The sequence below is a fragment of the Homo sapiens genome, chromosome 12, assembly GCF_000001405.40.
Source record: "Homo sapiens chromosome 12, GRCh38.p14 Primary Assembly".
NCBI lineage: Eukaryota > Metazoa > Chordata > Mammalia > Primates > Hominidae > Homo > Homo sapiens.
Genome location: NC_000012.12, coordinates 56,189,492 through 56,202,003, shown reverse-complemented (window position 1 = coordinate 56,202,003; position 12,512 = coordinate 56,189,492). Strand labels below are relative to the sequence as shown.

The 12,512-nt window shown below is 47.7% G+C and overlaps 1 long non-coding RNA gene and 1 other non-coding gene across 3 annotated transcripts, besides 2 other annotated features; both read right to left on the bottom strand.

Annotated features, from left to right (window-relative positions):
- Nucleotides 1-6,986: 6,986 nt before the first annotated feature.
- On the bottom strand, nt 6,987-11,318 carry LOC107984468 (uncharacterized). 2 transcript variants are annotated; one of them, XR_001749092.2, is made up of 3 exons: nt 11,229-11,318; nt 10,778-10,895; nt 8,234-8,911 (listed from the first exon to the last, which is right to left on the bottom strand). It is a non-coding gene; the product is annotated as an uncharacterized LOC107984468 (long non-coding RNA). The 2 variants fall into 2 exon arrangements; XR_007063330.1 differs by having other exon boundaries at nt 6,987-8,911; nt 10,778-11,312.
- Nucleotides 11,559-11,640, bottom strand: TRS-CGA4-1 (tRNA-Ser (anticodon CGA) 4-1). Its single transcript has one exon. It is a non-coding gene; the product is annotated as a tRNA-Ser (tRNA).
- Nucleotides 11,875-11,974: an enhancer, noted in NCBI's record as "active region_6480". NCBI's record gives its function as "activates an Ori minimal core promoter by ATAC-STARR-seq in GM12878 lymphoblastoid cells {active_cell/tissue: GM12878}" and the evidence as "EXISTENCE:reporter gene assay evidence [ECO:0000049][PMID:35858748]".
- Nucleotides 12,215-12,494: a silencer, noted in NCBI's record as "silent region_4549". NCBI's record gives its function as "represses an Ori minimal core promoter by ATAC-STARR-seq in GM12878 lymphoblastoid cells {active_cell/tissue: GM12878}" and the evidence as "EXISTENCE:reporter gene assay evidence [ECO:0000049][PMID:35858748]".

Genomic DNA, 12,512 nt, shown 5'->3' with positions numbered 1-12,512 from the left:
CATGCGCCACCACACCGGGCTAATTTTTTGTATTTTTTGTAGAGATGGGGTTTCACCATGTTGCTGAGGCTGGTCTCAAACTCCTGAGCTCAAGGAATCCACCTGCCTTGGCCTCCCAAAGTGCTGGGATTACAAGTGTGAGCCACTGCACCTGGCTTCATTGTCTTAATTTTTTACTTCAGTATATACATTGGAAAAATAAAAATATTTTTGACATTACCTAAATAACAAGTGTTTACAATTAACAATGTATAATGAATAATCTACTACAAACCCATGTTTACATTACCCTAATTGTCCCAAGAAAAGTCTTTTTTTTTTTTTTGACACAGGATCTCACTCTTGTCACCTAGGCTAGAGTGCAGTGGCACAATCACGACTCACTACAGCTCACTATAGCCTTGACCTCCTGCTGGGCTCAAGCAGTCCTCCCATCTCAGCCTCCCAAGCAGCTGGGACCACAGATGTGCACCACCATGCCCAGCTGATTTGTTTCTTGTATATTTTGTAGAGACAGGGTTTCACCATGTTGCCCAGGTTGGTCTCAAACTCCTGAGCTCAAGTGATCTGCCCACCTCAGCCTCCCAAAGTGTTGGGATTACAAGTGTGAGCCATTGCACCTGTCTGAAAAGTCCTTTTGTAGCTAATTTGTGTCTAAACCTGGGTCCAATCCAGGACCACGAATTACATCAGGTTATTTCTCTTTTACCCTCTATCTGGGTTCATGAAACCACCTTTTTTTGTGTAACCCTAATTTGTTGAAAAGATTGGCCAGGCGCGGGGGCTCATGCCTGTAATCCCAGCACTTTGGGAGGCCGAGGCGGGCGGATCACGAGGTCATGAGATCGAGACCATCCTGGCTAACATGGTGAAACCCCGTCTCTGCTAAAAATATAAAAAAAAAAATTAGCCAGGCGTGGTGGCGGGCGCCTGTAGTCCCAGCTACTCGGGAGGCTGAGGCAGGAGAATTGCGTGAACCCAGGAGGCGGAGCTTGCAGTGAGCCGAGATCGTGCCACTGCACTCCAGCCTGGGAGACAGAGCAAGACTCCGTCTCAAAGAAAAGAAAAGATTGAGCCAGTTTTCTGGAGAATGGTCGTTTGAACTTGACTGCTTTTTTTCTTTTCAGATGGGGTCTCGCTTTGTCCCCCAGGCAGGAGTGCAGTGGCACGATCTCAGCTCGCTGCAACCTCCACCTCCTGGGCTCAAGTGATTCTCTTGCCTCATCAGCCTCCCAAGTAGCTGGGACTACAGGCACGTGCCACCATGCCCGGCTAATTTTTGTATTTTTAGTAAAGACGGGGTTTTAAACCTATGTTGGGCCGGCTGGTCTTGAACTCCTGACCTCAACTGATCCACCCGCCTTGGCCTCCCAAAGTGCTTGGATTACAGGCATGAGCCACCGCGCCTGGCCTAGCCCGTTTTACTAAACAAAATTAGATAGGGCCTTGAGAGATTCAAGTTAGACAGTTCTGGGGATAGAACACATCACAGGAGAGAGAAGTTCTTCATTTTGTAACATTAGGAGATATGCCCTATTGCCCCATCATTAGCCTGATTCTTTTTTTTTTTTTTTTTTTTTTTGAGACCGAGTTTTGCTCTTGTTGCCCAGGCTGGAGTGCAGTGGTGCTCACTGCAACCTCCGCCTCCCTGGTTCAAGTGATTCTCCTGCCTCAGCCTCCCGAGTAGCTGGGATTACAGGCACCCACCACCATGCCCAGTTAGTTTTTGTATTTTTAGTCGAGACAGGGTTTCACCACATTGGCCAGGCTGGTCTCGAACTCCTGACCTCAGGTGGTCTACCTGCCTCGGCCTCCCAAAGTGCTGGGATTACAGGTGTGAGCCACCGTGCCTGGCTATGCTAAATTTCACAGCTTTTAAGTGCTGGCCCAAATTAAAAAAAAAAAAGAAAAAGCTTGTGGGCCAGGCACAGTGGCTCATGCCTGTAATCCTAGTACTTTGGGAGGCTGAGGTGGGAGGACCATTTGAGCCCAAGAGTTCAAGACCAGCCTACAAAATACAGTGAGCCTTTGTCTCTACAAAAAGAATTTTTAAAAAATTAGCCAAGTGTGGTGGCATGTGCCTGTAGTCCCAGCTGCTTGAGAGGCTGAGGTGGGAGGATCCCTTGAGCCCAGGAATTGAAGGATACAGAGAGCTGTGATTGCACCACTGCACTCCAGCCTGGGTGAGAGACTGAGATCCCGTCTCCTTTTTTTTGAGGCAGGGTCCCACTCTGTTACCCAGGCTGGAGCGCAGTGGTGTGATGTTGGCTCACTGCCACCGCCCTGTCCTGAGACCTCATCTGCTTAAAATGCTTGTGGGCAAAAAACAAAAAGTAAGGTCCACCAATATGCACTTTAAGTTGAGATCCCAGCATGAATAAAAACAAATAAGAGGGCTGGGTGCAGTGGCTCACACCTGTAATCCCAGCACTTTGGGAGGCTGAGGCGGGTGGATCACCTGAGGTCAGGAGTTTGAGACCAGCCTGACCAACATGGAGAAACCCCATCTCTACTAAAAATACAAAAAACTTTAGCTGGGCGTGGTGGTGCATGTAATCCCAGCTACTCGGAAGGCTAAGGCAGGAGAATCACTTGAACCTGGGAGGCAGAGGTTGAGGTGAGCCGAGATCGCACCATTGCACTCCAGCCTGAGCAACAAGAGTGAAACTGTCTCAAAAAAAAAAAAAAAAAGGGTGAAGAAAATGTTGAAGAAGGCAGAGACTAATGTAATCTGGAGCATAGAGTTTACTGGAAGACGAATAATGAAGGGAAATAATGGAAGATAAGACTAGAAGTAATTTGGGGCCAATTATTGGAAGGCCTTGAATGCATGCTAGGGAATTTGGACTTTACCGGTAAGTTTTTGAGAAGAGGAATGACTTCCAACCCATTACTCTGGAAAGAATGCAAGAAACTGAGAGAATGCAAGAATGGGAAGAATGTAAGAAACTGGTGTTGGCAGTGTTAGTGAGCTTTGTAGTAATTCAAGGAAGCAGAGGATAAGGGCTTGAAATACTGCAGGAAAGAGAGAATGACATTTGGGAAGAAAAATTGACAGGTTTTAGTAACTGATTAGATTCAGCCAACATTTATGGTGTACCTGTCATGTGTTAGACATAGTACCAAGCATTTAAGATGTATAAATAATTGAGAAATAAGACTTTAAAGGGGCCAGTGCCTCACGCCTGTAATCTCAGCACTTTGGGGTCCAAGGTGGGAGGATTCCTTGAGCCCAGGAGTTTGTGAACAGCTTGGGCAACATGGCAAGACCCTGTCTCTATGGAAAAAAAAAAGTGGCATAGTGGCACATGCCTGTGGTCCCAGCTACTTGGGAGGCTAAGGTGGGAGGATCTCTTGAGCCTGGGAGATTGAGGCTGCAGTGAGCTGTGTTTGCGCCGCTGCACTCTAGCCTGAGTGCCAAGAATGAGACCCTGTCTCAGAAAAAAAATAAGAACAGACTTTAAAGGAACTTGCAGCATTGTAGGTGACACACACTAGAACAACAAATAATGGGAAATATAGAATAGTATGTTGCTAATAGATAGGGACTAAGTACAATGGGACAATGAGGAGGAAAGGGGCCAACTACATATCTGGTGGAATGTGGGAAGGAAGGCTTCGTAAAGGAATCATCAGGGTTAAGTTCTGAACAGGATTGGACACTGGCAATAAAGAAATGTAATGGCCAGATTATTTACTGTGAGGCACTACTGTAAACATTAAACATTAATTTAGTCATCCTAACAACTTTTAATAAAAAGACACTATTGCTGGGCATGGTAGTGCATGACTGTAGTACTAGCTACTTGGAAGACTGAGGCAGGAGGATTGCTTGAGCCCAGAGGCTATGGTGAGCCAACAGAGTAAGACCCATCTCTTAAAAAACAACAACAGGCCAGGCGCGGTGGGTCATGCCTGTAATCTCGGCACTTTGGGATGCCGAGGTGGGTGGATCACCTGAGGTCAGGAGTTTGAGACCAGCCTGGCCAATATGGTGAAACCCCGTCTCTACTAAAAATACAAATATTAGCTGGGCGTGCTTGTGCACACCTGTAATCCCAGCTACTTGGGAGGCTGAGGCAGAATTGCTTGAACCTGGGAGGTGGAGGTTGCAGTGAGCCGAGATCGCACCATTCCACTCCAGCCTGGGCGACAGAGTGAGACTCTTCTCAAAAACAAACAAACAAACAAACAAAAAACATGGACAAGTAACCAAAAATGAGTCACAGATAAAGATGGAGATTTCCAGACTGTGGATGAGAACATGGTATCATTAGCCTAAATAGGGAGTAGAAGAGGATGAGCAGGTTTTGGGGGTGAAGAAATGAGTTCATCTGGGGAACACTGGGTTGGGAGTGCCCCCACATAGATGTGTTTAGTCAGGAAATGGAAACATGGTCTGGAGCTTAAGAACAAGAAGCTAGGGGCCAGGTGCAATGGCTCACACCTGTGATCCCAGCACTTTGGGAGGCTGAGGTGGGTGGATCACCTGAGGCCAGGAGTTCGAGACCAGCCTGGCCAACATGGCGAAACCCCATCTCTACTAAAAATAATAAAAATTAGCTGGGCGTGGTGGTGCATGCCTATAATCCCAGCGACTTGGGAGGCTGAGGCAGGAGAATCACTTGAACCCAGGAGGCAGAGGTTGCAGTGAGATGAGATCACCGCCATTGCACTCCAGCCTGGGCAACAAGAGTGAGACTCCGTCTCAAAAAAAACAAAACAAAACAAGAAGCTAGGGCTAAAGATGTGTATGGAGTAGTTATCTGCCCAGAAGAGATCAAGAAATGCTAGGAATGCATGCAAACACTTAAGAACAGGAAGAAGGCTAAGAATGGGACTTCTTAGCTATCTGGAATGAGGAATTCCAGATAAAATCTGGAACAAAATCTGGCAAATAGATGCATAATAAAGTTGGCTAATTTTTTAAAAGTAATTTTGAAGTAATGAATCACTTAAATGTGGCTCATAAACTAGCTGTGAAGGAGTTCCGGAAATGTTTTCTGCCATGAGAGCATCCCTGATGCAAGTGTAGGATGAGGTCATTTCAGCCCAAGTCTTAAAATGATTTGCTTTACTGGATAAACTGCAGAGACCCGCTGGGCACAGTGGCTCATGCCTGTAATCCCAGCACTTTGGAAGGCCGAGGCGGGCAGATCACTGGAGGTCGGGAGTTCAAAACCAGCCTGACCAACATGGAGAAACCCCATCTCTACTAAAAATACAAAATTAGCCGGGTGTGGTGGCACATGCCTGTAATCCCAGCTACTCAGGAGGCTGAGGCAGGAGAATCGCTTGAACCTGGGAGGCAGAGGTTGCGGTGAGCCAAGATCACGCCATTGCACTCCAGCCTGGGCAACAAGAGCAAAACTCCGTCTCAAGAAAAAAAAAAAAAAAAAAAAACTGCAGAGACCCAAGCCTCTTAGAATTTGGAACAAGTCGACAACTTGAAAGAGGATAATACTAAGTTATTGCTGGGTGCAGTGGTTCATGCCTGTAATCCCAGCACTTTGGGAGGCCAAGGTGGGTGGATTGCTTGAGCCCAAGAGTTCAAGACCAGCCTGGGCAATATGGTGAAACTGTGTCTTTATAAAAAATTTAAAAGTTCATTGGGTGTGGTGGTGCATGCCTGTAGTCCCCAGCTACTGGGGAAACTGAGGTGGGAGGATCGCATGAGCCCGGGAGATGGAGGTCACAGTGAGCCAAGATCGTGCCACCACACTCCAGCCTTGGCAACAGAGCAAGATCCTATCTCAAATCTTATATATAGTTCTTCCCCAACTTTAGCTTTAAAAAACATTACTGGCCGGGCGCGGTGGCTCACGCCTGTAATCCCAGCACTTTGGGAGGCCAAGGCGGGCGGATCACAAGGTCAGGAGATTGAGACCATCCTGGCTAACACGGTGAAACCCCGTCTCTACTAAAAATACAAAAAAATTAGCCGGGCGTGGCGGCATGCGCCTGTAGTCCCACCTGCTGGGGAGGCTGAGGCAGGAGAATGGCGTGAACCCGGGAGGTGGAGCTTGCAGTGAGCCAAGATCGCGCCACTGCACTCCAGCCTGGGTGACAGAGCAAGACTCTGTCTCAAAAAAAAAAAAGAAAACATTACCAGCCGGTGCGGTGGCTCACGCCTGTAATCCCAGCACTTTGGGAGGCCAAGGCAGGTGGATCACGAGGTTAAGAGAGTGAGACCATCCTGGCCAACATGGTAAAACCTCATCTCTACTAAAAATACAAAAATTAGCTGGGCGTGGTAGCATGTGCCTATAGTCCCAGCTACTCCGGAGGCTGAGACAGGAGAATCACTTGAATCCAGGAGGCGGAGGTTGCAGTGAGCCGAGATGGCGCCACGGCACTCCAGCCTGGAGACAGAGTGAGACTCTGTCTCAAAAAAAAAAAAAAAGTTAGTTACATAAAAATAATTTTAAGTCCAGGCCCAGTGGCTCATGCCTGTAATCCCAGCACTTTGGGAAGCCGAGGTGAGAGGATCACTTGAGGTCAGGAGTTCATGACCAGCCTGGCAGCATGGTAAAATCCTGTCTCTACAATGCAAAAATAAGGCGGTGTGGTGGCGTGCGCCTATAATCCTAGCTACTCGGGAGGCTGAGGCAGGAGAATCCCTTGACCCTGGGAGGCAGAGGTTATACAGTGAGCCATGATCGCACCACTGCACTCCAGCCTGGGCGACAAAGTGAGACTAATTTTTTTTTTGAGACAAAGTCTCACTCTGTCGCCCAGGCTGGAGTGCAGTGGTGCGATCACGGCTCACTGCAACCTCTGCCTCCGGGGTTCAAGCGATTCTCGTGCCCCAGCCTCCTGAGTAGCTAGGATTACAGGCATGCGCCACTATGCCCGGATAATTTTTTTATTTTTAGTAGAGACGGGGTTTCACCATGTTGGCCAGGCTGGTCTCAAACTCCTGACCTCAGGTGATCCACCCGCCTCGGCCTCCCAAAGTGCTGGAATTACAGGCGTGAGCCACCGTGTCCAGGCAAAATAATAATACTTTTAAGATCTAAGAATTTATTGCTGAAAAGATCATTATATGGTGAGACTACCTAGTTAGTAAAGAGAAGGAACTTCATGAGGGATGGCAGGGGTTGGGCTGTCACACGGAGATGACCAGCCAGATTAGATGGAAGGTATCTTAGTGGAAAGATGTAAGGGTAAGAAAAACGGGCAATTTAGGCAGGGTATGTTGATAATAGGATCATGTGTTTGTTTAGATGGGGAACTGAGTTCCTGGACAGGGGAATAATATGATGAAAGCAGTGTAATCACACTAATATAGGGTGGATTTCAGTGTGGTGAAACTAGGGCACCTTGAAGGCCATCGTAACAGGCATGAATTAAGATGATGTGCTTGGGGAAGCAACTGATGAATCAGTGTGATGGGCTTGGGAGAAAACAAACTTCAGATAATTAATTCTTAGAGCTGGAAATGAAGGAATTGAGTGAATAGTGGTATCAACAAAAGTGGGAAAAGTTCAGAACGATGATTGTGAGAGAGGAAGAGAAGCTTTGTTTGCATATTAGGTGACACTAGGTCAGCTGTGCAGAGATGTGAACAGCTGGAGATAAAGGACCATGGTTTAGCTGAGGACATACCTGGAAAGGTGGCTCTGAGATTTTGTCTCGGGAGAATGAAGCTTTGGTGGAAATTCCACAGGAGGAAGAAGAAAGCAAATGAGGTGGAGAAGCAGTATACTGAGAAGGAGAAAAACAATAAGTGTTTCTGAAGGCCAGTAAGAAATCAATGTTGTTTCAAACACAGAAAGGATGGAGACTGAGAAGAGATTATTAAATTTGTCCAGTGGTTTCTATTAACGTCTAAAAAACTTCAGGAGGCCGGGCGCGGTGGCTCACACCTGTAATCTCAGCACTTGGGGAGGCTGAGGCAGGTGGATCACTTGAGGTCAGGAGTTCAAAACCAGCCTGGTCAACATAGCAAAACCCCGTCCCTACTAAAAATACAAAAAAAAAAAATTAGCCAGGCGCATGGTGACAGGGACCTGTAATACCAGCTACTTGGGAGGCTGAGGCAGGAGAATTGCTTGAACCTGGGAGGTGGTGGTTGCAGTGAGCCGAGCTTGTGCCACTGCACTCCAGCCTAGGTGAGAGAGCAAGACTCTGTCTCAAAAAAAAATAAAAAGTAAAAAAGTAAAAAAGAAAAAAAAACCAAAACACTTCAGGAGGCAGAAACCAGATGACGGGGTATCTGATAGTATGGAACTGGAGGCAGAAAGGTATACATTTTATTCGAAAAATAAAAGGAAGTAGAAAACAATGTGGAAATTTGAAAGTGTCAAATGAAGGTGGGGTTTTGTTTGTACTGAATTCATGAAGGATTGATCCAGTGGAGTAGAGGAATTTTAAGGTGTTATGGAAGGATATTTATGGAAGGTTCCTTAGGAGGTTTAAATGAGTGGGACTACAGGCTTAAGTGGAGAAGGTTACTTCAGGGAAAATATGGAAGGCCACATACTGTAGCAGGAACTAAAGAATGCCAGTGGGTGATATGTAAATATGTAAGAATGGTGAGAGAGAGGGGGCCAGATCATGCAAGGTAAAGAAAGGTAAAAGAATAGTTAGGATTTGTTGGAGTGGAAGAGGAAGGGTGAAGGAATTGGGGAGATGGGGTGGGTACATGGGGATGGTAGAAATTTAAAATGATCTATTGTATATGAAGGTTTGAAGCCTCGGCCTCTCACCCACAAAAGTTACAAGAGAAGCATTTGAGAGTAAAAGGGATGAACTTCAAGTAGCAAACTACCTCTGCCATATTTCCCTTCTTGGTCCAGATCCTCCATTTTGTAAACCATGGAGCCTTCTTCCCTTCACAACATAGTTGTTGGTTGCCCTCTGCTGGTCAATTCTGGTCTTGGCTCTCCAGATATTTAAATATGAGAACCTGTGCAAATTGGGATTTGGTAGGAAGGAGAATCATGAGCCTATGAGATTTTATAAATTCATTCAACACATAGTTGATCACATCTATAAGGCCTTGTAGAGAAGATACAAATAAATAAAATACACAGCCCTAACTCTCAAGAAGCTTATATACCAGTCTAAAGATTAAAACATGTACACATAACTACTGTAAAAAACACCCATTTATGCAAAAAAATTTTAAAAACTGACTCCTTATCTGTGTTTAATGTGTTTATATGCCACAGGGGAAGAAAGACTTCACATAATAAGTTGAGAGCATAGGATGTGGTAGGCAACAAGTGGTCAGAGAAAACTCCACAGGAGAACCAACATTTAGGTGGAGAATGAGTAGAAAGTGTGGAAGAGAAAGATTATTCCAGGCAGAGAACACCATGAGCAAGGCTAAATAACTACCAGGAAGAACTAAAAGAATGCCAGTGGACAGAATGTAGTGAATATGGAAGAGTGGTGAGAGAAAAGGGGTCATATCCTGCAACACAGAAAGCAGCCATAGAAGGGTTTAAGGTCCCGGACTGCAGTGTGGATGCTTTAGTGCAGTTTTCTATATATTACCTCGTATGGTGCTCACAAATACCACTACCTTCCAAATGAAGGCTCTAGCTCAGCCTGCACTCACCCCTGAGAAAAGTGAGCATATTTGAGACATATTTAGAAGGTAAAATAAATGGAACCTGTTTCTATTTTATTTTAATTTTATTTTATTTGAGACAGAGTCTTGCTGCATCGCCCAAGCTGGAGTGCAGTGGCACGATCTTGGCTCACTGCAACCTCTGCCTCTTGGGTTCAAGTGATTTCTCCTACCTCAGCTTCCCAAGTAGCTGGGATTACAGGCGCCCGCCAACCACACCCAGCTAATTTTTGCATTTTTAGTAGAGATGGGATTTCACTACATTGGCCAGGCTGGTCTTGAACTCCTGACCTCGTGATCCGCCTGCCTCAGCCTCCCAAAGTGCTGGGATTACAGGCGTGAGCCACCACACCCACCCCTGTTTTTATTTTATTTTTATGTTAGCATATCAAGGGAGAAGTCCTTGCATGCAATTTAGTGAATGGTGGTGGTGGTAGACTGACAGGCAGCTGGAGTGATCAAGAGCATCAAAGAGGAGGGGCCTAAAGAATTTTGGAAAGTGTTAATGGTGAGGGACAGGGAGGCAATGTGAGGGTCATGCTGGAAATAACAGCCTGAGCAGTGGTATGAAGGTGGGAAACTCTAAGGTATAAATGTGTAGAAAGCTCTATGTATTACCCTAGAGCCCCCTGCCCTTTGGGATTCCTTTTGGACAAAAGGCTGTGCAAGAAATACAAAAAGAACATCCTTGGCCAGGCACAGTGGCTCACACCTGTAATCCCACCACTTTGGGAGGCTGAGGCAGGCGGATTGCTTGAGTCCAGGAGTTTGAGACCAGTCTGGGCAACATGGCGAAATCCCAGAACGCCGTCTCTACTAAAAATACAAAAAGTTAGCTGGGCGTGGTGGTGCATGCCTGTAGTCCCAGCTACTGAGGAGGGAGGATTGCTTGGGCCTGGGAGTTTGAGGTTGCAGTGAACTGAGATCGCACCAATGCACTCCAGCCTGGGCGACAGAGCGGGACCCTGTCACAAAAACAACCCCCCAAAACAAACAACAAAATCCTCAACAAGCAGCCTAGATCCTCCCCACAATCAGAAATTAGGGGATAGGAAAAATGGGGTGAGATGAGTATAGGAGGGTTAAAGGTTAAAGATGAGATTAATTTCCTTGCTTGGTTAATACACATAGATAATTTAAAACAGTATCTGGCACATAATAAGCACTCAATAAAAAGTGAGAATTATCTTCCCATACCTTGGCTCTAACTGGATCTGCAATGATGTTTCAATAGACTACTCCCTTCTAGCCCTGTACACCTCAAGGAAATCCAGATGAGAGAATCCTGTTTCCTGGGTCTTCGGTGTAATCAGACCTACAAGGTGTGACTTCTGGTCATGAAATTTAGAGGAAACTCTAAGTTTGACTAATATTGCAAAACAGCCACTCACATTCCCAAAATGTAACCCTTCAACCAAATCCTTCCCTATGCCCTCAAAAGAATGAGACATGTGCCAAAGCTCTCCCAGGAAGCCTGAAGTTACAAAATTCTGAAAATGCCTCACAGTCTAGCAGCCAATACAGTCGTGCATAATTAAACTTCCCAAGATCACTCCCATCCTCCCAAATCCAGGGGTTAAGACCTTTTGGCGGCTTCCCTTTTGGAGAGAGAAAGTGCACGAAAGAAACGTGTGAGAACTGGGGTTACCTTTATGTGCTGTGAAAGGGGTTAAAAAAGTCGACGCCTGTAATCCCAGCATTTTGGGAGGCCGAGGCGGGCAGATAACCTGAGGTCAGGAGTTTGAGACCAGCCTGGCCAATATGGTGAACCTGTCTCTACTAAAAATACAAAAATTAGCCAGGTATGGTGACGCATGCCTGTGGTCCCAGCTACTCGGGAAGCTAAGGCAGGAGAATTGCTTGAACCCGGGAAGCGGAGGTTGCGGTGAGCCGAGATCGCGCCACTGCACTCCAGCCTGAGCAACAGAGCGAGACTCCCTTTTAATAATAAGAAGAAGAAAGAAAAAAAAAAAAAACCCGTCACGAACAGGATTCGAACCTGTGCGGGGAAACCCCATTGGATTTCGAGTCCAACGCCTTAACCACTCGGCCACCGTGACTTCCAAAACCGCGCTTTATCGCGCGCTTACAGAAGGGGTCCGCACTGCAATCCGGGAATGCGTGCGGGAACCGGAAGCAGGGTACCGGCCCCGACACACACACACCTGAGGACTCCCCACCCCTCGGTTCCTTACCTCCTATCTACGCCACCCAAAGAAAAAGAGTCGGATGGACTGGGTGACCCAGGGAGGGAGGGTCTCCTGCCTAGCGAAGAGTCGGGGTCTCGAGTAGGAGCTCACACCTACTTAGGAGGCGACAGCGAGGCCTGCGGAGGAAGCAGTTGAGGGAAGGCACTGGGCCGCCAGGGTGGCGACTAGGGGACATTTGGGTTAACAAGTGAGGGGAGTGCTGGGTGGACAAGGCGCGAGGAGTGAGGGAGACTCTGAAAAGTTTAAATGGGGAGCTGCTGTGAATGGATGGAAGGAAGGAACTTCTTGGGGAAAGGGGTTTGGGGTTTTGGGGGACGAGGGGCTTCGTCGGGTTAGGAATGCGCAAGGTGAGGACCACTCGGGTCTACGGGTTGGGGCTGCTCCAGCGACTGGCGGCCGCCTGGAGTGGGATAGCGAGGTGACACTCCCGAGCTGAGGCAAAAAGAGGGAAAGGGCTTCGCGTCTGGTAAGAGCGATCTCAGGAGAATGGCGCCCCCTCCAGGAAGCGTCCTTCTCCCCGGAGGCTCCCGCCTCCGCTGCCGGGGAGGCCGCCAGGGTCGGCCCGCGCCTGGAGCTCCGCCGCCGCGCCCGGCCTGCCGGCAGGGGGCGCAGCGCGGACCGGGGCCGGCCCAGGCGGCGGGAGGCGGCGGCCGCGGCGGCGGGAGGCGGCGGGAGGCGGGCGGAGGAGGAGGCGGAGGAGGCGGGAGCTGAGCTGAGTGGGG